General features: G+C 38.8%; 1 protein-coding gene across 4 annotated transcripts in view; it reads right to left on the bottom strand.

Annotated features, from left to right (window-relative positions):
- UNC13C (unc-13 homolog C) overlaps positions 1 to 26,508 on the bottom strand; it is a 795,839-nt gene that overhangs the window by 744,550 nt on the left and 24,781 nt on the right. For all 4 annotated transcript variants that reach the window (XM_047432538.1, XM_017022220.2, XM_017022221.2 and 1 more), the window contains exons 2-3: positions 11,833 to 12,013; positions 10,593 to 10,717 (exon numbers count right to left, since the gene is read on the bottom strand). The gene's annotated coding sequence lies outside the window, so the exon portion shown is untranslated. The remainder of the gene's footprint in view (positions 1 to 10,592; positions 10,718 to 11,832; positions 12,014 to 26,508) is intronic.

The following is a 26,508-nucleotide window of genomic DNA, read 5'->3' as shown; positions in this document are numbered from 1 at the left end:
ACAGAGCCCTCAGAAATAACACCACACATCTACAACCATCTGATCTTTGACAAACCTGACACAAATAAGCAATGGGGAAAAGATACCCTATCTAATAAATGGTGTTGGGAAAACTGGCTAGCCATACATGGAAAACTGAAACGTGAGCCCTTCCTTACACCTTATACAAAAATCAACTCAAGATGGATTAAAGACTTAAACATAAGACCTAAAACCATAAAAACCACAGAAGAAAACATAGGCAATGCCATTCAGGACATAGGCATGGGCAAAGACTTCATGTCTAAAACACCAAAAGCAATGGCAACAAAAGCCAAAATTGACAAATGGGATCTAATTAATCTAAAGACCTTCTGCACAGCAAAAGAAACTATCATCAGAGTGATCAGGCAACCTACAGAAGGGGAGAAAATTTTTGCAATATATCCATCTGACAAAGGGCTAATATCCAGAATCTACAAGGAACTTAAACAAATTTACAAGAAAAAAAAACTCTATTAAAAATTGGGCAAAGCATATGAACAGACACTTCCCAAAAGAAGACATTTATGCAGCCAACAAACATATGAAAAAATGTTCATCATCACTGGTCATTAGAGAAATGCAAATCAAAACAACAATGAGATACCATCTCACGCCAGCTGGAATGGTGATCATTAAAAAGTCAGGAAACAACAGATGCTGGAGAGGATGTGGAGAAATAGGAACACTTTTACACTGTTGGTGGGAATGTGAATTAGTTCAACCATTGTGGAAGACAGTGCAGTGATTCCTCAAGGACCTAGAACTAGAAATACCATTTGACCCAGCAATCCCATTACCGGGTATGGACCCAACGGATTATAAATCATTCTACTATAAAGACACATGCACACGTATGTTTATTACAGCACTCTTCACAATAGCAAACACTTGGAACCAACCCAAATGTCCATCAATGATAGACTGGATAAAGAAAATGTGGCACATATACACCATGGAATACTATGAAGCCATAAAAAGGGATGAGTTCATGTCCTTTGCAGGGACATGGATGAAGCTGGAAGTCTTCATTCTCAGCAAACTATCACAAGAATAGAAAACCAAACACCACATGTTCTCACTCATAAGTGGGAGTTGAACAATGAGAAAACATGGACACAGGGAGGGGAACATCACACTATCGGGGGGTGGGGCGTAGTGGAGGGATAGCATTTGGAGAAAATACCTAATGTATGTGGGTTGAAGGGTGTAGCAAACCACAATGGCACATGTAACAAAACTGCATGTTCTGCACATGTACCCCAGAACTTAAAGTATAATAAAAACAAAAAGAAACAGACCCCATGCAACATGAAGAAAGGGGATTGCCTAATATTAATGTCATATCTGATACGTCTTCAACTTATTAAAAAGCAAAAATCATGAAATCCCATGTATATCTAAAAAAGAGGATAAGCAGTAAAAAATGTTAATAAGAGTTACACTTAATATAATGGTTTGGGGTGTTTATTTTACCCCTAATATACTTTGTTTCCTCACATTTCCTATAATAAAATGAATTACCTTAGAATAAAAAGAATAAACATATTAAATAACGGGGGATTTTAAGGATATCAATAACTGACATTTTTAATGCAGTCAATATTTTAATAAACTTTATTTTTAGACCAGTTTTAGATTTACAAAATGGAGAAGATAGTACAGACAGTTTCCATAACCCTTCTCCTTCCACACACAAACATTATTACATTTTAGATTAGTATGGCACATTTGTTATAATTAATGAAGCCATATTGATATAGGATTAACCAAAGTCCATAGTTACTCAGATCTTCTTAATTTCACCAAGTGTCCTTTTTCTGTTCCAGGATTCCATACAGGATACCACATTGCATTTAGTTGTCATAATTCCATGGGCACCTCTTGGCTGTGACAGTTTCTCAGTTTTTCCTTGTTTTTGATGACCTTGAAATGTTTTAGGAGTACTCCTCACATATATTGTAGGATGCTGCCCTATTGCGACTTATCTGATGTTTTCATCATGATTAGACTGGAGTCATGTATTTGCGGGAGGTAAATCACAGAGGTAAAGTGTCAATTTCATGATGTCATAACAAGGGTACCTACTATCAACCTGATTTGTAACTAGTGATACTGACCTTGATCATCCAGTTGAAATAATGTTTATCAGTTTTCTCCACTGTAGAGTTCCTCCACTCCCCTACCTCCCTTTTTAATGCTGTGTTCTTTAGAAGGAAATCACAATGCATAGCCCAAACTTAAGGAGTGAAGAATTATACTGCCTCTCTTTTAGGGTATAGTGTCTTCATAGATTACTTGTTGTTCCTCTGTGCGGGAGATTTTTCCTCCTCTGCTTATTAATTTATTCAGTTATTTACTTATAGAAGTATGGTCTCATGAATACTTATTTCATACTTGGGGTTGTGGTCCAATACTACTTTACTTCATTTGTTCCTCACCTTTTTCTAGCTTTGGCCATTGAAAGCTCTTTTTGTTGGCTCCTGTGACCCTTTGACATATCCCTATCAAGGTAGGTTTGGGTTTGTTTTTGTTTGGTTTTCTTTCACTTCATAACTCTCTGGAACTACAAATGTTCCAAGCTCATCTTGTATATGCCCCAGTCCTAGAAGCAGTCATTTCTCCCAGAAGCTCTATTTCTTTTTGTTGGAGAATGATATTAGAAACCAGGATTGGGTGTTCGGTATGCTTGTTGGTACTAAGGTGTCATTTCTTATATATACCAATAGAAATACACATATCTATAAATATTTCTGTATGTAACCATCTAAACATGAGTTCCCACCAATGTCTCCAACTCTTATCCATTACCATATAGATCATTCCAGCCTCTTCCTCTTCGTTATCTGTAAATTCCCAACCCAACAGTCAGAAACCTTGTTCCCACCATCCACCATTCATTCACATAATTGATCAATTCCAGTACACAGGTATAGCAGGGTCAGAATTGTTAACCATACCCAACGAGAAACAACCTTATTAATGAGAGTACAGGACTTAATGACCAACTCCTTTTGTTTTTGGTATTGCACACTCCACTGGTTTTCAAACTTATTTGTGTCAGCATCTTTTTCCCCCACTCCCTTCAGTGAGGTTGTTTCACACATTTATGGTACATTTATTTTCTCTTTTGTAGGGGCAGAAAGGTGTGATCACTTTTCTTACCCATCATAAGGGTCATGATCGATTCTCCTATAAGGACAGGTTGACCAGAGAAAAGCATACCAAATTTATGTCATCAAAATTTTATGTGACATAGGAGCCTTCAGAAATAAAGATCCAAAGACCCAGGGAAAACTATTTTATGCTTAGGTTTTATGAAGAACAGACAGTCGTGTAGAAATGTGATTGGACACAAGAGTATGATCCAATGACAATAGACTGACACCAAATGCAGTAAGGCCTGTCTGTTGAGATTTTTCTTGGCCTCTCTGCATAGTATTTCACCTTCCCAGGTATGGAACAGAACCCCTCTGGAATAAGGGTCTTTAAAGGAGAAGTCAGCCTGTAGACAGTGGCCTGTCTAGATTTAATGGCTTGCTTTGGAAGAGAGAGGTTCTGGTTTTTATGCCCCACCTTAGGGAAGAAGAATTCTGATTTCTAAGACTCTCACTGGGTAATAAAATTGGGTGGGAAACAGAAAGGCAGGAGAAGTTCAGAAAGACCTTGGTTCTGAGGCTTTTCCAATTTCCGTTTGTTCAAAGAACTGAGCCTGACAAGGCGCCCTACTTTGGGGGTATCCACTTGTCACATTGCTTCCTGAAATCCCCTGACTTTCTATTTATAAAAACTAATTTGCATATATATTAAGATCCACTCTTTGTGTGATAAAGTTCTATGGATTTTGACAAATGCATATTCTCATGATTCTACCATTGCAGTATTAGTCACTAATAGTTTCACTGTTCTGTAAAATCCTGATTTCACCTAGTCTTCCTTCTCTGCCTTCCCCTGAACTTCTGGCAACCACTGATGAATCTTTCTCAACAGTTTTGTCTTTTCCAGAAGGCATTTGGTAGGAGGAGAAGTAGCAGCAGTAGGAGTAAAGGGAAAGAGGGGGGAACTAGAGAAGAGAGTCCTTCTTTAGGTTGTCAGGAACTAAAATTCCAAAAGAGTAAGTCCAAGTAAAAACTACTCAGAGAATGCCAAGACTCAAGGTGAGAAAATCCCACTCACTCAATATATTCAAAGAGCAGAATGGAATGGAATGGAAGCAAGTAAAGAGTGAAGTAGTTGGCCAGGTGCGATGACTCATACCTGTAATCCCAGCATTTTGGGAGGCCATGGCAGGAAAATTGCTTCAGGCCAGAAGTTTGAGACTAGTCTGGGCAATGTAGTGAGCCCCATTTCTCCAAAAATATAAATAAACAAAAAATTAGCTGGGCACGGTGGCATGCACCAGTAGTCTCAGCTACTCAGGAGGCTGAGGTGGGAGTATTGCTTGAGCCCAGGAGTTCAGGCCGCAGTGAGCTAGTATTGTGCCACTTCATCCTAGCCTGGATGACAGAACAAGGCCCTGTGTATAGGCAGGGGAAAGAGTGAAGAGTGAAGAGTTTAGGATCCTGGGAAATTACTGAGAAAATTGCCTGATGGAAACTAAGTCTGGATCACAACTCTCATGCTTGCTGATCATATGACCTGGACAGGTCCCTTCGTCTTCCTGCTCCACAGTTTCCCATTTGAAAGATAACAGGATTGTATAGTTAATGTGGTCCATCCCTCCCAGCCTTAAGCACTCTGTGACTCCTCTTTTGTTAACCATCGTAACAACAATGATGGTCTCAACTGGTCTCGTGGGCACCCTAACTCAGCCATGCACGGTACCGGCATCATTTCCCCAGGATCACAGCATCAAGGCAACTTGGCAAAACTGGAAATAGTAGAGAGAAAAACAGAAGGAACCTACCCTCAGACTTTCTGTAGGAATTTTAGCCCTGAATTATGATGGAAGAGCAATACAAGTACCCTGTAATATTTTATATACTTATTCCAAATATTAGAATGCTTTGAGGAAATAGTGAGGCTTTCAAAGTCAAAACAAAACCTATTTTGAAAGAAAAAACTCACTGTTAATGTTTATGTACTTCTTGAAAGTAAAATCAAGCCCGAGGATTTTTCCTCTGAGATTTCTGCAACAGCCAAAGACAAATATAACTCCTTTGACAAATAACCATTCGTATTATATAATGACTAAAAGAAAAAGTCTTGTCACAAAATCTAATCTTGGGAAAGAACATGCTTTGTCTGCATTAAATAGCAATAAAGGAACCAACATCTGTCATTTCTGTCATTTATGTATTTGATTGCTTTACCAATAGCTCTATGAAAGGATGTGTGATAGACCCGATTGGCATTTGGTCCTCTCCTTTCAGGTTAAGAAATTTAAAGTAACTCTTGAACCCCATGCCAAAAGACAGTTATCTTTAAAGTTATCTTTTGCTTGTGACTCCGCCCCAAAACATGAGACATGTATCCTACTTGTCAGCCCTTCCAGGGCTGTGGCTGATACCAAGAGGAAATATTTCAAAGCAAACAGCAACAGTATTTGATGTCAGAAGTGAAAATAAACCAATTCCGCATTTTTGAGGCTCCCAAAGTTATAGCTAGCAATTCAGTTCTAACAGTAGCTTTACTGCCCTTTTCTGAGGCTGATATTAAAGCCTCATAGTAAGATAATAAATTTCATCATTTTAAGTAGAAAAAAAATTCAATTGCTGATTCACTATTAAATCTTTTCCTACAGAGTTAGTTTTCTCTGGTGTGGTAGCTATAGTGCTCTTCCCAGATTTTCTGAATTTTTTCCTTTAACTTTTTTTTTAAGTTCAGGGGTACATGTGCGGGATGTGCAGGTTTGTTACATAAATAAATGTGTGTCATACGGGTGGTTGTACAGGTTATTTCATCACCCAAGTATTAAGCCTAGTGTCCATTAGTTATTCTTCCTGCTTCTCTCCCTCCTCCTACCTTCCACCCTCTGATAGGCCCCAGTGTGTGTTGTTCCAAAATGACCAGAAGCAGTTTACTAATAAAAATAATAGTACCATCCTCAGTGGAGAAGAACACTAGTTTTCCAAAGGCTGTTTAACTATTTAATGCTTAGTAACCTCTGTAGAGATTATATCAATCCGTAACTCAAGAACCCAAGAATACACTGGTTTTACTCCACCAAAACTGTGTCCTGGATATATTGATTTGACAAAGTTTTGGGATGACAGTGGGCCACCATCACCAAATGCATTTTCAATAAATGTAAATTATGCTTCATTTGGCCCTGTTATCGTACCAAATGGCAGTAGAATAGTATTGAAATGTCTTTTCTTAAAGGACTATACAAGTCATCAAGGCTTGCCAATGTGAGTAATTCTGACTCCCTGTCATGACTCAGACATATTATAAAATTAAGTGTACAAATATATACAAACTCAAATAGAAATAATGACTGGGTTACATGAAGTATCATAAATAATGAATTATAATAAAAACTTTGGGTATATATAAATTTTATTATAAGCAAAAGTAGTGTGGAAAAAACTAATTCCTAGACTTGCAAATCCCAAAGATATTATATTTGTATACAGAACTGTACAATAAAAATCAAACCATTAGGTAATGGAAGCTTTTGAACTTGTTCATAAACCAAAAACATTCAATTATGTTAAACATTTAGTATTTTATTGTGATAATAGATGACATTTACTGAATATGAAATAAAAGCTAGATTCCATATTCCGTACCTTAAACTGCACTCTCCTAATTAATCTTCATTCAACTCTCAGAGTGAAATAATTTTATAAGCATTTTAGAGGTTAATTTCTCACAATCATGCACGTTCTGGATATCCTCAAACCTAAGTGTCTCATCTCCACCTACTATGACCCTTGTTTCTGGCCTTTCTTTTCTTTCAAAAGTGGCTTGTGCTGAGTTTTCTATCAAGACTTGAAAAGGTTTCTGACTGGACAGCAGACAGATAATTAATGTGAAAGTAATCATGTGGGTTATAGGCATGATGCACAGCCCTGTTTGATAATATTTGTATTTTAACAAGGTCCTTTTTGGTTTTGTGCAAGTAGGAATATCCCACTTCTTGGAACGCCATTGAAAAACTTTTGAGAACATGAGCCCTCTAACGAATGAATGAAGGTATTAGTTGGGACTCTACAAGTAACAAAATCTAGCCTTCAAACTTCACAATTTCCTTAACAAGAAAGAACTGGCTAAAGGACTTTCAAATCAGGTGCTTAAAAGCTCCGATCACTGGCTAAAGACAGGTGTCCACCACTGGACAATCCAACTGTGACCAAGGAATTAGAAGTTGACACCCTCTATTCATTCTCTGAAGATTGTTCTTTGCATTATTTCCCATTCATAGCAACCTGACTTAAAGTGGCTGAAAGTGAGGTGTGCTTAAGCAGAACTTCTTTAAAATTTACATGAATTTGATTTCAAGTGTCTTCAAATCAGAAGTAATGATCCCAGTGCAAGACAAAGCATTTAACTTTTAAGATACTTAATGGCCACTTTGACAATACGGGAAGCATTCCACATGCTTGGACACAATTTCCAGCTCTAACACTCCATAACCACGCAAGCTTTGGTATGCTGCACGCTCTCCAAACAGTATGGCTACCCTGAGGCTCTGAATAAAACCTTGGACACTTTATATGTTCCTCCTTCACAGAGCAAAAGAAACAAAACCAATTAGATTTAAATTTACATGTACACACACACACACAATCCCCAACTTCTTAGAGGAGTTAATGCAGCCCTTAAATGATAGATTTATTTCCTTTCTGTGGCTCACACACACTGCTGAAAACTTGGCTCAGACTGTGATGCATTTGACAAGGCCAGCATCACTTGGGGCAATACAGAAAAAGGGTTGCTTATATTTTATTCCCTCCAATTCAGCTCTTTTCTCTCTTGCTATGCTTCTTTATTGCCTTCCAAATTCAGACTCTCACTTACAACCTTCTCTTATTCATGAACATTAAAAATCCAGCGATTTTTATCCTAAAACCCACTTGGGTATTCTGTAAGGAGAGTAAGAGGCAATGGAGGGGCAGTAAGCAATAATTGCCATCTTATTTTGTCTATTATCTGCTGCAATATTTTAAGCAGAACAACTCCCTTTCAGACTCTTTCTTTGTGATGATTTCAGAAAAAAAAAAAAAAAGATGACAAAGCAACTTGCTTTTAAAGAGAGGAAAAAGAGGTCGTGATTAATTCCTGTTAGAAATCCTCTCATTTTAAGAGCAGACTGGGTTATCCTTATAATACATCAGGATTTGGTCCCGAGAGAGCTGTCAGCTGACCTCACAGGAAGCTTCTTGAAGCTGAAGGCTGTTCGTGCTGTCACTAAATGCTGACCCGCCGTTGTATTCTAAATCACTGCACACAGTGCTCTTTGAAAACCAAACGTGTAGTTCGGACATTATTGAGCTATTCCTTCAGCTCTTCAGAAAACAATTGCAAAGCAGCCGCAACACAAGTTAACTTCTTTGAAATTGAAGTAATCGGTCATTACAGTTTATTCTGTGTGAATATTGATTTGCTATCTAGTTCCTTCAATCTTTATAATGTAGTTGTTTTAGCCAACTTCTGGTTCTCAGATCCTAGTAAAACTACCGTGCTTCAAGAGCTCTTATTCTGCCATTTGCAACTGTAGCAAAAATAGCACTAGAAAATACGTCTCGGAGATCCTGCATTTTAATCCCAGCCTCGTTCTTCCTAGCCATTTAATAATGCAGAATTATCTTCCCTGTCTGTAAAAATGGACATGATAGTGGCCCTCCTTTGACCTTGCAGAGTAACTACATGATTTAAACAAAAATGCCAGTCATCCTTGATAAATAGTGTTCCCTAAAAACAAAAAAGAAAAATTACATATATATGTATATACACACACACACACACACAAACACACACACGCAGCATGATAAATTTTTTTCCACTATACCGTATGTCTTATGTTAGATTACATGGCTTGTATCTAATAATAATTTTGTTTTCCAGTTTTAAAAAGAGAATCAGGCCAAGGCAGGTGGATCGTGAGGTCAGGAGTTCAAGACCAGCCTGACCAAAATGGTGAAACCCCATCTCTACTGAAAATACAAACATTAGCTGGCATGGTGGTGGATGCCTGTAATCCCAGCTACTTGGGAGGCTGAGGCAGAGAATTGCTTGAACCTGGGAGGTGGAGGTTGCAGTGAGCTGAGATAGTGCCACCGCACTCCAGCCTGGGCGACAGAGCGAGACTCCGTCTCAAAAAAAATAAAAAGAGAGAATTAGCATTTACTTAAAAAAAATAACAAGTATACTTAAAAGAGCTGCAAGCACCAAGTTCCTATATATAACAATTAACATAAATACTATTTCCATACATGCATTTGATATAAAAATTGAAAAAGGGCTGGGTATAGTAGCTCACCCCTATAATCCTAGCATTTTGGGAAGCCAAGGTGGGAAGATTGCTGGAGCCCAGGAGTTTCAGACCAGCGTGGGCAATATGGCAAGAACCCACTCTACTAAAATTTTCTAAAAATTAGCTTGGTGTGGTGGTGTGTGCCTGTAGTCCCAGCTACTCAGGAGGCTCAGGTGGGAGTATCACTTGAGCCCTGGGGGTCAAAGCTGCAATGAGCCATGATTGTGCTATTGCACTGCAGCCTGGTCAACAGAGTGAGACCCTGTGTCTAAAAATAAATGAATCAATGAATGAATGAATTAATATCGAACCCATTTAAAAATCTTGGAGGACTATTTTCTTTGCTAAAAAAAGTAATTTTTTTATGTACTATTTTTACAAGGGAATCAGAATGTTCAAGGTATGTCATCATCATAAAAAGAATTTGCAGGTGACTCTTTTTCAGGGAGCCATACTCAGATTTGATTTAACTGTTCAAAAGCAAAAAATTGTTTTAAAGTTAGAGTCAAAGAGCTCATAATATAATATTGCAAATTTTCTAAAAGTTATTTCAGATATCAAATGGCTTCTATCTGCATATTCATTGCTTCAGAGGTTCATTTGGTTGGTTGGTTCCATGAGCAAAGACCTGTAGTAGTAAATCTCTATCAATGCAATAAGACACTTATAACAAAAGTTGTTTCTTCCTTTAGTGATTTCAGAAGTAAACTGAATTAGGAATATCATCATTATGGCAGCTAGCTCTTCCATTTTCTTTTTCTTTTTTTTTAAGGATAGCTTCCAAATATTTCTTAAAATTATTGTGTGAAAGCCCAAAAGTAGACAAACAGCAGCACAGACAAGAAGTGCATGGCTAGATACATGATCTCATCAGCAGGACGACAGGGCTGGCTAAATGGAACCCCAGCCAGGCCCTTATGGCCATGCAGAGAAATGATAATTCCTGCTGCAGGCCCAAATCAATCTGACAGAACATCGCATCACAAAATTAGAATTTTGAGGAAAGAGAACAGAAAGTCTGTATTCCTGACTCTCTATTTCAAAATCTGGCACCTAGAAATTCTGAGTGTTGATCAAGGTAAAAGAAAATGTTGTGTATAAAAATGCTTCAGAAACTCTAGAGTCCTGTATGAGTATGAAAAATTCTTACCACAAATGGATTCAGAAGGCACAGCTTTGGTTTGAGGTTTGGCGGTGAGGAGGTGATAATAGTGATCACAGATGGAGTTTCTAAGTTGACAGCAAATTTCAGTTATCATCCATTTCCAAGCAATCCTGTGAACACAAGTATGTCCTGCTCAAAGTTTGAAATTGTGTCAACCAGAAGACAAATGAGACAAACCATTTTTTTAAAAAATGCAAGTTTCATGGATAAACAAATGTGGTATATTCATAAAGTGGAACCATATTCAATACTAAGCAAAAAAGCATTATGGTAGATCAACATGTTGAATCTAAAAAATGTATATTGAACAAAAAGAGCAAGACATATAAATGAAACAAACAAAAGAGAACATACTGTATGATTCCATTTATATGAAGCTCAAGAATGTCCAAATGAATCTATAGTAATGGAAATCCCCATAGTTACGAGGTCAGGAGGGTAGAATTGGCATATTGAGTACAAAGGGGCATGAAGGAACTGTCTGAGGCAAAGGAAAGTGGTCTATGTCTTTATTAGGTATTGTTTACACGGATAAGTACATGTGTCAAACCTCATCTCATTCTATGCTTAACATCTGTACATTTCTCTATTCATACATACACTTAACCTCAACATGTTTTGTAAAAGGTCAACTTTCCCTTCTTCTCTCTTCGTGTTTCTTCTCCTTCACCCCTCCTCCTCCTCCCTATTCTCCTTCTCTCTCTCTCTCTCTCTGTATCCACAAACACACTAGCCTTCCTATTTAACCTAGTTTCTCTCCTGACCTCTTCTAGTCCCTGAGGAAGTAAAGCCCTTTCTCTTTAATTTCTATGAATATTAACCTAGGTTTTGGCTGGATTAACCCTACCCAGTCCTTTGAAATTCAGAGCAGAAACCTCCCTGAACTAGGGTCTGTCTTCCCTGAGCCTATGTTTCTAAGAGTTTCTCTCACTCTCAGGGAGGGAACATGGCATTGAAGGGCTGGATGGGGCAGAAGGCATTGGAGAGGGCAAGGCAAAGGAGAACAGGAGTCCTTCAGAGCTCTGCTGCAAGCCCCTGTGGAACACTGATGTGCTTTTGCATAATTCAGCTAATCAAATTGAGTAATTATATTAAAGTAACTTATTAACACGGATTTTTGGCATATTAGACCAGAAGGACCTTTTCTTGACAACTTGCTATATTACTGACAGAAACCACTTTCAGAATCTCTAGGACTTGGGAAGTTCACCAAAACCCAACTTACCTACTAAAGTTGATGGATCTTAGATCAAGATGAAATTCCAATGTAAAATAAATGGTCTCAGTGATTTCTGAAGAATATTCCATAGTCAGACATACAGAAATGCCGTGATTTACTCTCTTGGCACATCTCTATCTATCTATCTCACTAGACATCAAACTGGAACTGTTGACAATAGTTATCTCTGGAAAGAGAAATAATAGAAAGCCTTCTTTATCTTATTCATCTCTGTATTTATTTGTGGTTTTGCTTTTACAGTTACTATGTTGTTTTTTATAATCATAAAAAGACTAAAGATACCATAAAATACTTCTACAATAAGATGGAGATGAGTGGGTAATTATAACAGTTTATACCCACTTTGTGGCCCTCATTTTGAAAAAATAAATAAATCTGAGCAGACTTTTCAAAAAAAAGTAGTAAAAACCATTTGAAACCAAAAAAAAGCCTGACATAAACAGAAGTTCCTGCTCTTCTGTTTTGATTTCCAAGATGGCAGCTGTGTAAGCATTAACGAGACATGCGGCTTTAGAGGGAAGAAACTGATCCACGTCTGTAACATTTTCTTAATATGTCAACATTTTGGTTTTGCAATATGGTAGATAACATGGAGCCTCTGAATTGCTAGGCCTGCTTGCTATTTCTACAAAGATTAACACGGCATTCAGTCAATCCTTCGAGCCTCCATTTTTAAATATAATATTGAAATGAGAAGGTCCGATTTTGAGAAGGGCTCAGCTGAGCAGGTGCCTCCCTGAAATATAATGGAAGTTTGGTACTTGAGCTTTGAACATTCCATTGAATTAGAAAACCAGAGATACCAGTGAATTGATGAGTTCGTTTAGTGCCACATTCTGCCAAAATATCTGTGCAATATTGGACTTCAAAATGCAACATGAGCAAAAGCTAAAAGTCATCATGAATAATTCAGATCACATCTGAATGTTTGTCACACTAGAAAAAGAAAAATATTTTATCTTAAACAGGAGAGAGTATTTAGCATAAAAAATCATTACGTGGGAACAAAACCAAACAAAAGCACTTTAGAACACATACCCTGTGCTCAGATATCTGAGAGAACTTCTAGTTTAACTTGACATAGCACATGAATTGGCATCCTTTCCTTACCACCTTTTGTTCCAAGGAAGTAACATTGACACTTCAGTGTCAGTCAAACAACTCTTCTTGCAGTGTCTGCCATGTGTCAGCACTGTGTGACACACAAAAAAGATGCAAGGCATGGCCCAGACCCTAGTGCTTGAGTAAAGAATGCCACAACAGAAAATCGAACACAGGATGGTGCTAAATGGTGTAATGCACACCATAAAACTATTGCAGAATTATATTATAACTACATGTGCCACAGCTTTGAGGGAACAAAGGGAGCATTAATTTCTTACCTGGCCCCATTTCCCTGCTCAATCAATCTTACACATCACTATCAGATACATCATCCTCAAATGCAGTTCCCATCACATTACTCTAGCTTAAAAACTCAAGTTACTCCCCAGTGACTTGTTTTTTGGAAAATCTTCACCCCTGATCTAATATGAGCCTTCAAATCACCTTACCAGCAACCTCCTGCTATTGTCCTCACTCAAGCATCTTCAGAGTCTAGGCAGGCAAGCTAAAATGTGCAGCAACCTGTTGCAAAACTACAGTGAGCATACAGACTAGGCAGAACATACCCAACAACATTCAGATTATAACTGAAAAAAGAAATCTTGCGCTAGTCTGCCATCAACCTGCTGAGATGCTACACTGCACCCCAGGATGGCATAGTAAGCCCTTGGCTCTACCATGAACACTGCTTTTCTTTCTCCTCACAACTTTAGTAGGTGCTCAATACATTTTCAATAAGCTAAATTGAAATTGCCATATAAGAAAATATTTTTAAAGCACTGCTCAATGTACTTAAAATAGATGTGGGGGAAAGTCACATGCATATAAGATATTTTTTTTTTAATTTTGAGACGGAGTCTCACTCTGTCACCAGGCTGGAGTGCAGTGGCACAATCTCAGCTCACTGCAACCTCCACCTCCCGGGTTCATGCGATTCTCCTGCCTCAGCCTCTCAAGTAGCTGGGATTCAGGTGCATGCCACCACACCCGGCTAATTTTTGTATTTTTAGTAGAGATGGGGTTTCACTATATTGGCCTGTATGTTCTCGAACTCCTGACCTCATGATCCGCCCGCCTTGGCCTCCCAAAGTGCTGGGATTACAGGCGTGAGCCACCGCGCCTAGCCAAGATTTTTTAAATTATTTACATGGCAATTAAAGAAGTGCCAAGTATATGTGGAAGTGCCAAGTGAGTGGTACCAGCAGTACCTGGTATAAGTTTCAAAGGAATGTGAGAGACGGCTTTGGGCAGAAAAGTAGGTATTGAGCTATGTATTGAAGGCTAATAGACTTTGGATATACAGGATGGTAAAGGAGGCATTTCAAGAAAGAAAGTTCTAATGTGTGACCTTGATGTTCACCTGTCCTCTCTGGGTAAAGGATCTCTCACCCGCATAATGAAAATAGCTAGTTGGATAATCTCTAAAGCCCAATTTCAGTAACATAAGTAAAGGCATAGTCCATGGTGTCTTTGGAGAGATATGTCATAGAGGTAAACACCTTGGGGATAGAAGTCAGACATTCCTGGTACTGCCACTTTCCACATGTGTAGCTTTGGAAAAGTTGCATAACTTATTTAAGACTCAATTATTTTCATTTATAAAATGAGAATAATACTAATTATGCACATTGCATTGGGTTGTTAGGGGGATTAAATTAAATAATGTATTAAGGTACTTTGTATAATACCTGGAGCAGAGTAAATTCCCTGTAAAATCTAGCTATTATTTTTACTATAAGAAACATGCCACAGCCTGGACAACATGGCAAAACCCTGTCTCCACAAAAAATACAAAAATTAGCTGGGTGTGGTGAAACATGCCCATAGTCCCAGCTACTCAGTAGGCTGAGATGGGAAAATTGACGGAGCCTAGAGGTCAAGGCTGTAGTGAGCCATGATTATATCACTGCACTCCAGCCTGAGCAACAGAGTAAGACCCTGAGACAGACAGAAAGACAAGAAAGACAGGAAGGAAGGAAGGAAGGAAGGAAGGAAGGAAGGAAGGAAGGAAGGAAGAAAGGAAGGAAGGAAGGAAGGAAGGAAAGAGAAGGAAGAGAAGAGATAGAAAGAAAGAGAGAGAGAGAGGGATAGATGCTGGTTGTACACAGTAGCTCATGCCTGTAATCACGTGAGGGTGATTACACTACAGCATGGATCATTTGATCGTGGGGGTTCAAGACCAGCCTGGGCAACATAGTTGTGTGTCTTATTTTCCCCCTTTCCGCCTCATGGAAGGAGGGAGGTGTTGCTCAGTACCCTGACCTAAAGCCAAGTGAGAGGGCCTCCAAGAGAATCACTTCGTGCATCAGGGTAACTGATATCTTCTCCCACAATTGGAAGTATATTTATATAGACTGCTAGATGATTTGCCTTCTGAGCCTCTTTGAGCTGAGGAAAAAAAATCCAAAAGAGGGGAGGGAAAGGAAGAAGCAGTGTGGCTGTGGAGCAGCTCCCAAGCTCACAATTTGACAAGGCAAAGCTGCTCCATGAGTTTCCTGTGGGTCAGATGGACATCGTGGAAGAGGAGGCAAGTTGAGCGATCTTGCGAGCAACAAGAGAGGCATACTCCAGGAGCAAGCTGCGGGGTACTACTTAGTCAGGGAATGAGACAGGATGAGAAGAGGTAGGTTCAGAATGGATCTTTTGCAAGAACCCCAGTCTCCGCAGAAAACTCACAACTCTCCCTCCCCAGAACCAACAGTTGAAGGCCTAGAACTCAGAAGGCATTGAATGTGATTGGTGTTAGAGAAACAGGACCGAGCCCAGAGGAAAGACTACAACAATAGCCACTAAAAAAAAAAACGTGTCCCTGTCCCCCTTCTCCTCCTCAACACACCAAAGGATCTATAGCCAGGAGAAGAAAGGAAGAGGAAGGCAACAGCTGGGAATATCTTCCCATCCTGAAGCTCTCCTAGACATGGATGAAGCCTGTGGAAGGACAAGAAAAAGTCTAAAATTGCTCTGGATGCTCTGAGAACTACAGCAACCAAAAATCTGAAAGCCATGGAACATGGCAAAACGTTGTCATTTCAATAAGTTCAGTTTGCTGAAGAAAGGATTGGAGAAAATAATATGGTTTAATGTGTGTGCCCCCAACAACATCAATTTCATTATAACCAGCCTAGAAGGATAATGAGAGAGGATTTTGGAAGGATAAACTGAGTCCAGATTGTAAGAATCTTGAATTATTAGGACTTGAAATTCATCCTGAAAGTAACAAGAACATTGAAGATTTGGGGCCAGGTCACTACAGGCCCCTATGAGAATTAATTGAGCTGTAGTCTGTGGGTAGATTGTAAGACACAGAGCCTAGAGGCATGGAGACTGGAGAGGAAGTTGTCATAATAATTTTGATGACTCATAGTAACTGGAGCCTACACCACAGGGACAACTGTTGAAACGGCATAAAAGAGATAAACAGCAGTGGCATTTTACATGCGGAATGAAAATATTTAGACAACCATCTAAATCTAGGGAGTAAGAATAAAGGATAATTCTAACTTGAGTTGAAGTTCTTCAACCTAGATTATGACTACCATTGGCCACTACTCCCTCATTTCTCCAACCCCTTACCTGGAAGAAAAAAAAAAATCTATGAATGGCGGTCATTTTGAAAGAAATATGAAGAGATGTGTGTGTCTTAGAGTCATTTCACCTTTCCAACTCATTAAAAACTTCTCCACTCCCTATCTGACATATTCCTCCCAAAAATGCTATTACCACCACCACAAATTCTTGCCTGCTCTGAAAATGCAGCTGGGGCATATGGTGGAATCTACTGAATGTGAAACAAAGGCGGTAAGGAAGGCTCATGGCTCTCTGAAAGATTCACTACAAGTCCAGAAATGTGAAAATGATCCAGATTTCCTGAATCTTAGATCAGATGTCATTTCAACACATCATAATAGTTGCTCTCTGCAGGTTCTCCTGAAGAAGGGAGGGTTTCATCATCTCCATACACACACTGCAGGAGCATTCTAACACCATCAACTGTAGAAACTAGCAGCAGAGGAAGTTTTTCCTGCACAACTTTCTTTTGTGTGTGTGTGTACAAGTTGAAGAGTTCAAACACAAGCACCCACTTCCACAATACTCACTGTGATGACTTCCACTGGCGTCAGGCTTGATGTTGGAGCAGACTATCTTAAGTACTTGCTTCAATCAAGATGCTAGGCGAGCATGAAGAAACCATAAGAAATCAATGTGTCCAATTTCTGGGATTCACAATTTCAGACCTGAACCAAGTCCAGCCACAGGCTATCTAGGGAGTCTCCTGGAAATTTGCTGCCCCCTCCTCACCTCATTCATTTATTCGCTCATGCAAAACATATTTACTAAAGACCTACTCTGTGCCACTCATTGTGCTCTCAACTGGAACACAGCAATGAACAAAATAGACCTTCCCTCAAGTTGCTCACAGCCTTGCATAGAAGGCACCAAAGACAAGAAAAGAGAAGGTGATATCTGATATAAATGAGCAGAGCCTGCTGTGGAAGTGATCAGCCAGCTTAGACTGGGAGGATGAGAAAGTGCTTCCCAGAATCAAGATGTAAGCTGAACCTAAGTAAGAAGGAGAAGTTAGTCAGGGGGAGTTAAGAAGTTATAAAATATTACATAGGCAAAAGTCACAAGACAAGAATGAACATAAGCATGGCTAAAAATGGCATAAGTGTGGAAGGTCAATGAACATCACTGGAGCCTAGAAAATGGGGGCATAGGGATGGGGTTGGCAGAGGAAGAGGGGTAAAAATAGAGAGGTCATACAGACATTCAGGACCCATATCAGCAATGAACATCTTTGTAAAGGAATTTGAGAAGAAATCAAGGGCCACACACAGCAATCAAATTTATTTGGGGGAGTGGGGCAGGTAATTTTGGAGACTAAATGAGAATGAACTAGAATTAGAGCACAACATGACTGGCAACTGGGAAAGCAATTAGATGGCATGAGGATGACAATAGTGTTGGAGTTATTGTGTAGGATGGCTCCAACACTATTGTCAAGGGCACTGGGCAGGCCTTGGTCTTGATCATAGGAAAGACATGAGGAAGGGACAGAAGCATCCTAGAGTAGAAGTATGGTGTGCTGTTTTAGGGCAGGAACTCTGCTTCTCCCAGTTAATTCAGTTAATTGCTGTGTGACCTTGGCCAAACTTCTTAAACCTCTGTGCTTTGGCTTACTTATTGGTAAAATAAAAATCAGGATAAGACCCTCTTTTTAGAGGGCTTGTGAAGATGGGCTAAAGTACATGAAGTGCTGAACTCTTGCCTGGCATATGTCAGGTGTTTTTATGAGTTAGGACGTAGTCTCAATTGCTGTAACAGAAGCCCAAAACTACAGTGGCTTATATAAGACAGAAGTGCATTTTTCTTATATCCAGGTACAAGCAGTGGTAGGAAGGTAAGCTGAATGGCCATGGACTCTTCTGCCTTGTTGCTCTGTAATCACTGGGATGAGGCACTCACCCACATGGTCCAGGATATCTCCACTCCAGCCAGTGTGGGGGTGGGGGGTGGGAAGGAAAAAGGACAGCATGTCCAAATTCTGCAGTTGTGCCTTTTAGTACAGAGAAGGTGAGAATGCATATCAGGGGACAATCAGCCACTAGCAATACTTGATATATGTTAATATTATAGAAAAATAGAAAGTGACTTCTCAAAGGAGAGGAGAAAAATAGAAAAAATTCATTTCTGTTGGGTGAGACTTGGTAAACTTGAAACATAAAAAGTTTTAAACTTAAAACATTTCCAATTTTATCAAAGGAGAAGGATTTAGACAAAACTATATTATATAAGGACAATGAGGAACTCAAAGGATTTATTTTCATGTAAAAGGGACATTGTAAGCGTAGGAGTACAGTCAGGCTGGTGGGAAAAACTTTAAAATGAAGTTATAGAATATAGACACAAATCTTCTTGGAAGGCTCGAAGATTTTGCAAAAGTCTTAGGACAGTGTTATGGCTGAAAGCAGTCTAATCCTTACCTTGTGTAAATAGTTCACAGTAGGTACAAAGGAATGCAGAGGAGTTTATCTAAATAGCTTGTTTACTCATGTGGTCCCAAGACCAACCTTTGATCAACTGCTGGTGCATAATTTCTCTCTACTCTGGGGAGTTAGCAACTGGGTCAATTACCCTCTAGTGGTGTTTACTCAAGACCTTTGTCATTTAATCTATACTGAATAAATGCGAGCTTCACTGGCTGAGGGGGCTGCCGCTGCTACTCTTTACAGCACCTTCCTTGGTATCTGTGAGGGGCTCAGACCCTTAGCCAGACTGACAGGCAGAATATCTGTGTCAGCATATATTATTCATCTGTCGTTGGGTCAGGGTCTGCGGGACAGCCCCCGCATGTAAGAATTAATTTAAGTACTATTACTTATTACTAATTAATAATTAAATATTATTAACTGTTTTCAAGGAGTTATTCTAATGAAGACTCTAATATTCATCCTAACATTGAAAGAAAAATGATTAAGCCCACAAGGGAATTAGTATGAATTACCCTTTTTATTGGCATGACATCGTGGAGTAAAATATTAATGATTTTCTTCTACTCATGAAACATCATCAAAAGAAAACAATGTCATGAATGTATATGCCTGTGTATGACCACTTGCTACAAGGCAGCTCAGGACAGGCAGCATTGAACAGGAGGCACTGGTCACTTCATGACTGCAATGGTTTGCTTTCCCCATGTGGCCATCCACGTAACTGCAGGTCACCCAGGGCCCTAAAGCTTTGTATCTTCAAATCCCAGATCATGATCCAGGGTCTATCTCTTTTCCAAAATGATGGATTATCAATTTGCTTTCTGTATTTATGACTTTTTTTTAAGACAGGGTCTTTGTCTCCCATACTGGAGTGCAGTGGCTCAATCATGGATCAATGCAGCCTTGACCTCCCAAGTTCATGTGATCCTCCCACCTCAGCCTCTGAGTAGCCCAGACTACAGGCATGCACCACCACGCCCGACTAAATTTTTTGTAGACATGGTGTTTTGCCATTTTGCTCAGGCTGGTCTCAACTCCTGGGTTCAAATGATCCTTCTATTTTGGCCTCCCAAAATGCTGGGATTACAGGCACGAGCCATAAAGCCCCACCCATTCTTGTTTTTAATATGGCCCTAGTGAGACCTCTATAGAAAACTTCAAATGACATCTCCATACCTCTGAGTAATATGAATCTCCTGCTTCAAAGTTAACTTATTCTTTTCTTAAATTTACTTTTTCCCTCCAGACCGCATGGGTCATTTTTACTTCTTTAAGGATTGACCAAGAGCAAAATTAACAACCCTAACTGCCTGTGACTTAAACAGGGAGAGATCTATGACTTTTTGTGGACAGGGCATTTTCATAAGCAGGAATATCTTATACATTAAGCTAAGAGAAGAACCCTGTGGGGAGCAGACTGCATAGGCCGGGCCTCCTTAGTCTCCTTCTCACCTGACCCCTAGGGCACAAGTCAGTATTGACCCAGCATTCACCTCCACATCCAGCAAAGATCACCCAGGGACAGATCCTCCAGTGAATTTTTTCCACCTACTTTATTTGCTTAAATTAGTCCTTTTGTTATAAAGAACCATAGACTGGCATTTCAAATGGTCCCTGGCTGGGTTTTGTGCGGATCAGTCCAAGAATGTAATACAATTGCTCCTCCAATTGCTCTCAGGGAAAGTGCATTGCAATGTCCTCCACTCCCAACAGCCTGCCTGCAAATTCAGGGTGGTCAGCAGAAACTTCTGGGGATTAGAGAGCAGCTCCCTGGCCATTTCCCATTGATAGTTTAATATGATAAAAGCTTGTGGCCAGGAATGGTGGCTTATGTCTGTAATCCCAGCACTTTGGGAGGCCAAGGCAGAAAGATCGCTTGAGCCCAGGAATTCAAGACCAGTCTGGGCAACATAGGTAGACCCCTCCTCTACAAATATATATTTTTTTAATTAGCTAGGAATGGTGGCAGGTGCCTGTGGTCCCAGCTACTTGGGAGGCTGAGGCAGAGGAATTGCCTGAGCCTGGGAGATCCAGGCTGCAGTGAGGCATGGGAGCACCACTGCACTCCAGCCTGGGTGACAGAGCAAGATCCTGTCTCAAAAAATTAAAAAATAAAACAAAATTTGTTATTTAACCTTGAACAAGAAAGGCAAGAGCAAACCTTAGCAAAATAATGCAAAAGTTATTATTTTACAGGAAATAGGATTCAAATCATATTAATAGGCAGGAAGGAAATCAATCCTCACAGTGGCAAGGTGAGTTTATTCTTGGAGATTTAAGAAAAAATACAGCCATCATCCACAGGACCAGAGTTCCCTGCCCCCGCAATCCTATCCCATCCCTCTGTCAATTACTCATAACTTTCTCACCTGCAAAGTCTTTTCTCACCAGAAAAGAAAGACATTGATTTTCAGTGGATACCTCGAGCCTTCAGAATTAGTAAAGAACTGCAGAAGTTGTAAAGCGGCTTTCACTAATCTGTACAGACAGACGCTGGGCTGCGGAGAGAGGGAGGCAGGATGTGGATGCCTCCCTAAGAAGGGCTTAAGTAATGGAAGCAATTTCATCAAAATCAAACGTTGTTAATGTTTTATCTGATACCTAAAAATTCTAGTTCATTATAGTTTTTTTGTTCCTATTGTTACTATAGATGTTTTCTCATGTTTATTGTTCATTGCTTATTTGTGTTCCTGTACCAGCATATTTGTATTCCTTGACCTCCAGTATGATATCTGATATTTTATAACAGTAATGAGAGTGAGCATCCTTGCCTTTTTCCTAAATTTACTGGAAATTCCTCTATTGTTTCTCACTGAAATATGATTTCAACTGTTAATTGCTGATAAAATGTTGCTTTTAAATTAAGCCATATGATTTCCAAGTTACTGAGGATGTTCCTCAGAAATGGATGTTGAACTTCATCAAATGGCCTTTTTAGCAACTATCATATACTTTGACTCCTTAATTACTGATACAGTGAACAACCTGAAACCATTTCCAAATGTTGACCCATCTTTACATTTCTGAAATATGGCATAGTGTGGTTTTAAGGTTCTGCTAGATTATGTTAGATGATGGTTTTACATATTTTTGGTTCTGTGTTCATATGTAAGAAAAGTCTGTAAATTTATTTTTTAGTGCTATCTTTCAACACTCTCAGAATTAGTGACTTACCACTTTCATAGAATGAGTTGTTAATTTGTATGAATGAGTAAATTTCTAGCAACTAATTTATCTATGCTTTGCAGTAGCTTCAATGTCTTGAATTTTCTGTGCCTCGAAGATTCGATTGGATTGGATTTACTGCTCAGACATTGGATCTGGTGCCTGCGGGTCAGGGGCAAGCTGGGAGAAAGAACTCTGTCTTTCCTTATTGTTTCTAACTATTCTTGAACCCAAATTGCTAATATTTTCACAAGAGTTACTTATCTAAGCCACATTTTAAAACGCATTGGTATAAATGTATAGTTGGTATTCATTTAAACTTGTTAAATCTCTTTATTCTCTGAGTAAACACCTCCTCATTACTGATGTTGCATATTGTGTTGTCTATGTGGTCTTCTTAAACAGCTCTGAAGACAATATTTTTGCTTTCCATTTTATTAATTTTTGCTTTTATCTTCATTAGTTGTGTTTATTCCTTTAGCATTGCAATTCATCTGCCTTCTGAAGTGAAATGTATAGCACATATATTTTAAATCTTTCAAAACTTGAAAGGTTTAATGTTTTGTCTTCACTGCCACATATTTCTAAGCATTTATTAATTTATTTTTATGTGATATAACCACATCACAAATAACGTGTAGGTACTGAAGAATAGCAGTTGAAAAGTTTTCTCTACTATCCCTGTTTACCACATACTTTTTACTTACCTCTTTAATCTGAGTTTTTAGAAGTTTATTTTTAAAAATTATTTCTTTGTGGTAATTCTACTGTCTTCCTTGACTTTGTTTTGTTTTTGCCATCTTTTAGTTATTTATTTGTTATTCTATTGTATAGGTTCAGAATTTCTACTCTGGGAACTTTATTCACACTTTTCTTTTGGCTTGATATGTAATCAATTTTTTGTATGTGAATATTTCACAGTCAACTTACATTTAACTGGAGCCAATTTTTATAAAACTTCTATATCCATAACTCAAAATAAAATAAATATAAATATACTTTTAGATATACATTTTCAAAGCTATATTAAAATACAGTGTATGATTTTAAATAGATTTTTATTGATTATTAAATTATGGAGTTCAGCGGATCTTAATACTGAAGCCTTCAGCATTTATTTGCTCTCCTACTCATGTCACTGTTATGGGCTAAATTTTTTCCCCATCAAAATTCATATGTTGAGATCCTAACACCCAACACCTATAAGCCTATTTGAAGATAAAGTCTTTAAAGAGGTGATTAAGTTAAAATGAGGCCTTTAGGTTGGGGCCCTAATCTAATATGACTGGTGTCCTTAGAAGAAGAAGAGACACCAGGGGCTCATGCACACAAAAAAGGTCAAGTCGGACTCAATGGGAAGGCAGCCATCTGCAAGCCAGGGAGAGAGGCCTCAGGAAAAACCAAACCTGCTGACACCTTGATCTTGGATTTCCAGCCTCCAAAACCGTGAGAAACTAAGTTTCAGCTGCTTAAGCCTCCCTGTCTGTATTCTGTCAGCCCGAGTGGACTAATGCGGTCACTCAATGGAATGAAGTTCCTGCCACAGCTTTATGACTGAGGCCAAATGCATTTGCTATTCATCAGTCACACCTGCACTGTTGATATTCTTAAGCTACAGAAATGTTTCTCAGTACTTAAATATCCATCAAAGTAGAAAAATAAAAAATAGTACAAATTCAATCAATTTATTCATTTGTGTAACTTGACTGTTCCCAACAGACTTTATCTCATTGCTCATTCTTTTCTCTCTGCCTAAAATTTACCAAACCACAGCTGAACAAATTGAGGTTGGTAGTTGGTCCAAGGCTAAGAATTCGGGACTTCTGACCCCTGGTTAATGCCCTTTTGTACTTACTACACCATTCATTATATAGACTCAGATTTGTCTAGAATATTTACTTTTCTCTCTACCCTTACAAACCGAATTGCATGATAGTCAAACAACTGCCTTTCATGCTTTCTGAAATGAATACTTCTGAAGCCTGTCATATGGTCTCCAATGCCATTTTATCCAGAATAAATCAGGGTTACTTTATTACAAATAACACAATCTAGGAAGAGGGTATTTCTTCAGGGACATCTGTATCTACGATTCTGCAAATACTATCGGTTTCTTCAGTTCAATCCTCTTCTGATGAAAAAGGGAAAGAATTTCTTAGATCTGAAATATGTAAGGATATAGCCTAGGTAGAGAGAATGTTGAAAGTTTAAAACTGAAATTCACAGGAACTACTTGAGGCCTATATTGCCTTTAATATTCCTTTGACTAAAAGTCATTATATAATCATGCAATAAGTCTGCGCTATGAATCAATGGAATTCATATTAGGTAGCTTTCTTTGAAAGAGGTTAAGAGAAAGAATGGGATTGAGAAAGAGTAAACTGAGGAAAAAGTATTGGTTGATTTTGCCTGTCTGACACAACTTTTATTATTATTTTCCTTTCCAGAATCACTAAAGATAATGCAGATAAGCAAAAGGAAGAAAATACTCATTTGTGATCACACCAACCTCAGTAATAAATAATATTGCTTATGGACATATTTTCAGTCAGTTTTCAATAAATATTGTTTTTCAATAAAATTCTGCTTGAATTGGTGTTTTAGGTTGGATTTCCTTGGAAAAAGACCTAGAGACAGGGATTCAAGTGCTGGTCATTTATGTGGGTGAAGATGTCAGGAGACACAGAAAGGACAGTGGAAAAGTAAAACAAGGCATAGAAAGCAGCCAAAAAAGTGTATGTACAAGGACATTACCACTGTGGTAGCTGAAATGTTCCAAATGAGGAACTCTGGCAGCCAGCATGGAACATGGACCTCAAAGTTGTCTTAACAAAGTGGTGAGTAACCTCACCACTGGGGCTACATCGTGGACTCCACCAGTTATTGAATGAGTGTTCATCAAGGGGCATCACTGGCCTGCTAAGCACATGGGCAAAGAAAATTTAGACAAAGAGAAGTCGATGCTGGAAATTAGAAGCACAGTAAGCACATGCTGGAATAGTGAGGGTGAAGATACACAAGTGTGGCATACATAATACATAGCATCTGTTACAAATATAATGTTGTCTGGCAACCTGCTTTGTTCATTTATTACACCTTGAATCTTCTATGGAGTATTAAATGCTCTGAGTATGATATTAATTATCAATCCTTTTGGCTACATACTAGTCTATTGAATGATTGCACAAATCTCTGATTGTTGACACTTGAGGATTCCACTTTTTCATTATAATATACAAATTGTGATAAGCATTCTTGTATTAAAATCTGTTGTGCCTGTATAACAATATCATTATGATAAACAGCTATCACTTGAATTACTGCATCAAGGGATATGTAACAGTTTATGACTTTTGATTTGTATCACAAAGTTGATCTTTAGAAAGATTGTACTAATTTACACAATTAGAAATGTGTGTCACTTCTGCAGTTTCCTGCCCAATACTGATCTGAAGGGTGAGGCCAACCTACATAGACTTGGGGATGACTCTGCCGCCCCAGACAGCCTGGAGGGTAGAGCATCAGTCCAAAGAGGAGTAGTCTCAGGCCTTAAGATCTGATAGAATTTGCCTTGCTAGGCTTTGGTCTTGCTTGGGACCTGTCACCTCTTTCTTCCTTCTGGTTTCTCCATTTGCAGTGGGAATGTCTATCCTAGGCCTGTCCACCATTGTATTTTGAAAGCACATTAACTTGTCTCATTTTACAGGTTTATAGCTGGAGAGAAATTTTACCTCAGGATGAATCATACCTACAGTCTCCCCTATATCTGATTTAGGTGATATTTAGATGAGACTTTGGACTTTAGAGTTGATGCTGGAATTAGTTAAAACTTGGAGGGCCACTGGGATGAAATGAATGTATTTTACATGCAAGAAGGACTTGAATTTGGGGGAGCCAGGGACAGAATGCTACAGACTAGATGTTGTTACCCCTCAAATCATATGCTGGAGCCCTAACCTAAAAAGTGATGTTACTTACAGATGGAGTCTTTGAGAGACAATTAGGTTTAAGATGAGGTCCTGAAGCCCCCAAGACACCAGAGAGATTGCTTTCGCTCTGTCTCCCCAACGTGAGTGTGGCAGGCCAGGTTTCTAGTAGCAACCAGAACAGTCGGTTTCCACTAACCTTTTACTATAATTTTGATGAATGCATAAGTTAAACATTAAAGAACTGGAGAAACTGGGTGTATGAGGGCAGGAATGTGAAAACAAACCTATTAAGACCCTGCCTGGGTTTTCTCAGACCCTAAAGTCTGATAGAATAATAGCATTCTTAAACATGCACTTTGTACCAGAACACACTTAAGAAACTTTCCAAGACTCTAGAGAAAGCTTTCCAGACCCCAGGCTCTAGTTAAAGATTAGATATAGATTGAATGAAACACTCCTGCTTATGGCCG

Source organism: Homo sapiens, chromosome 15 (genome assembly GCF_000001405.40).
Source record: "Homo sapiens chromosome 15, GRCh38.p14 Primary Assembly".
Classification (NCBI taxonomy): Eukaryota; Metazoa; Chordata; class Mammalia; order Primates; family Hominidae; genus Homo; species Homo sapiens.
Note: the sequence above shows the minus strand (reverse complement) of the source record. Positions and strands in the feature narration are given on the sequence as shown.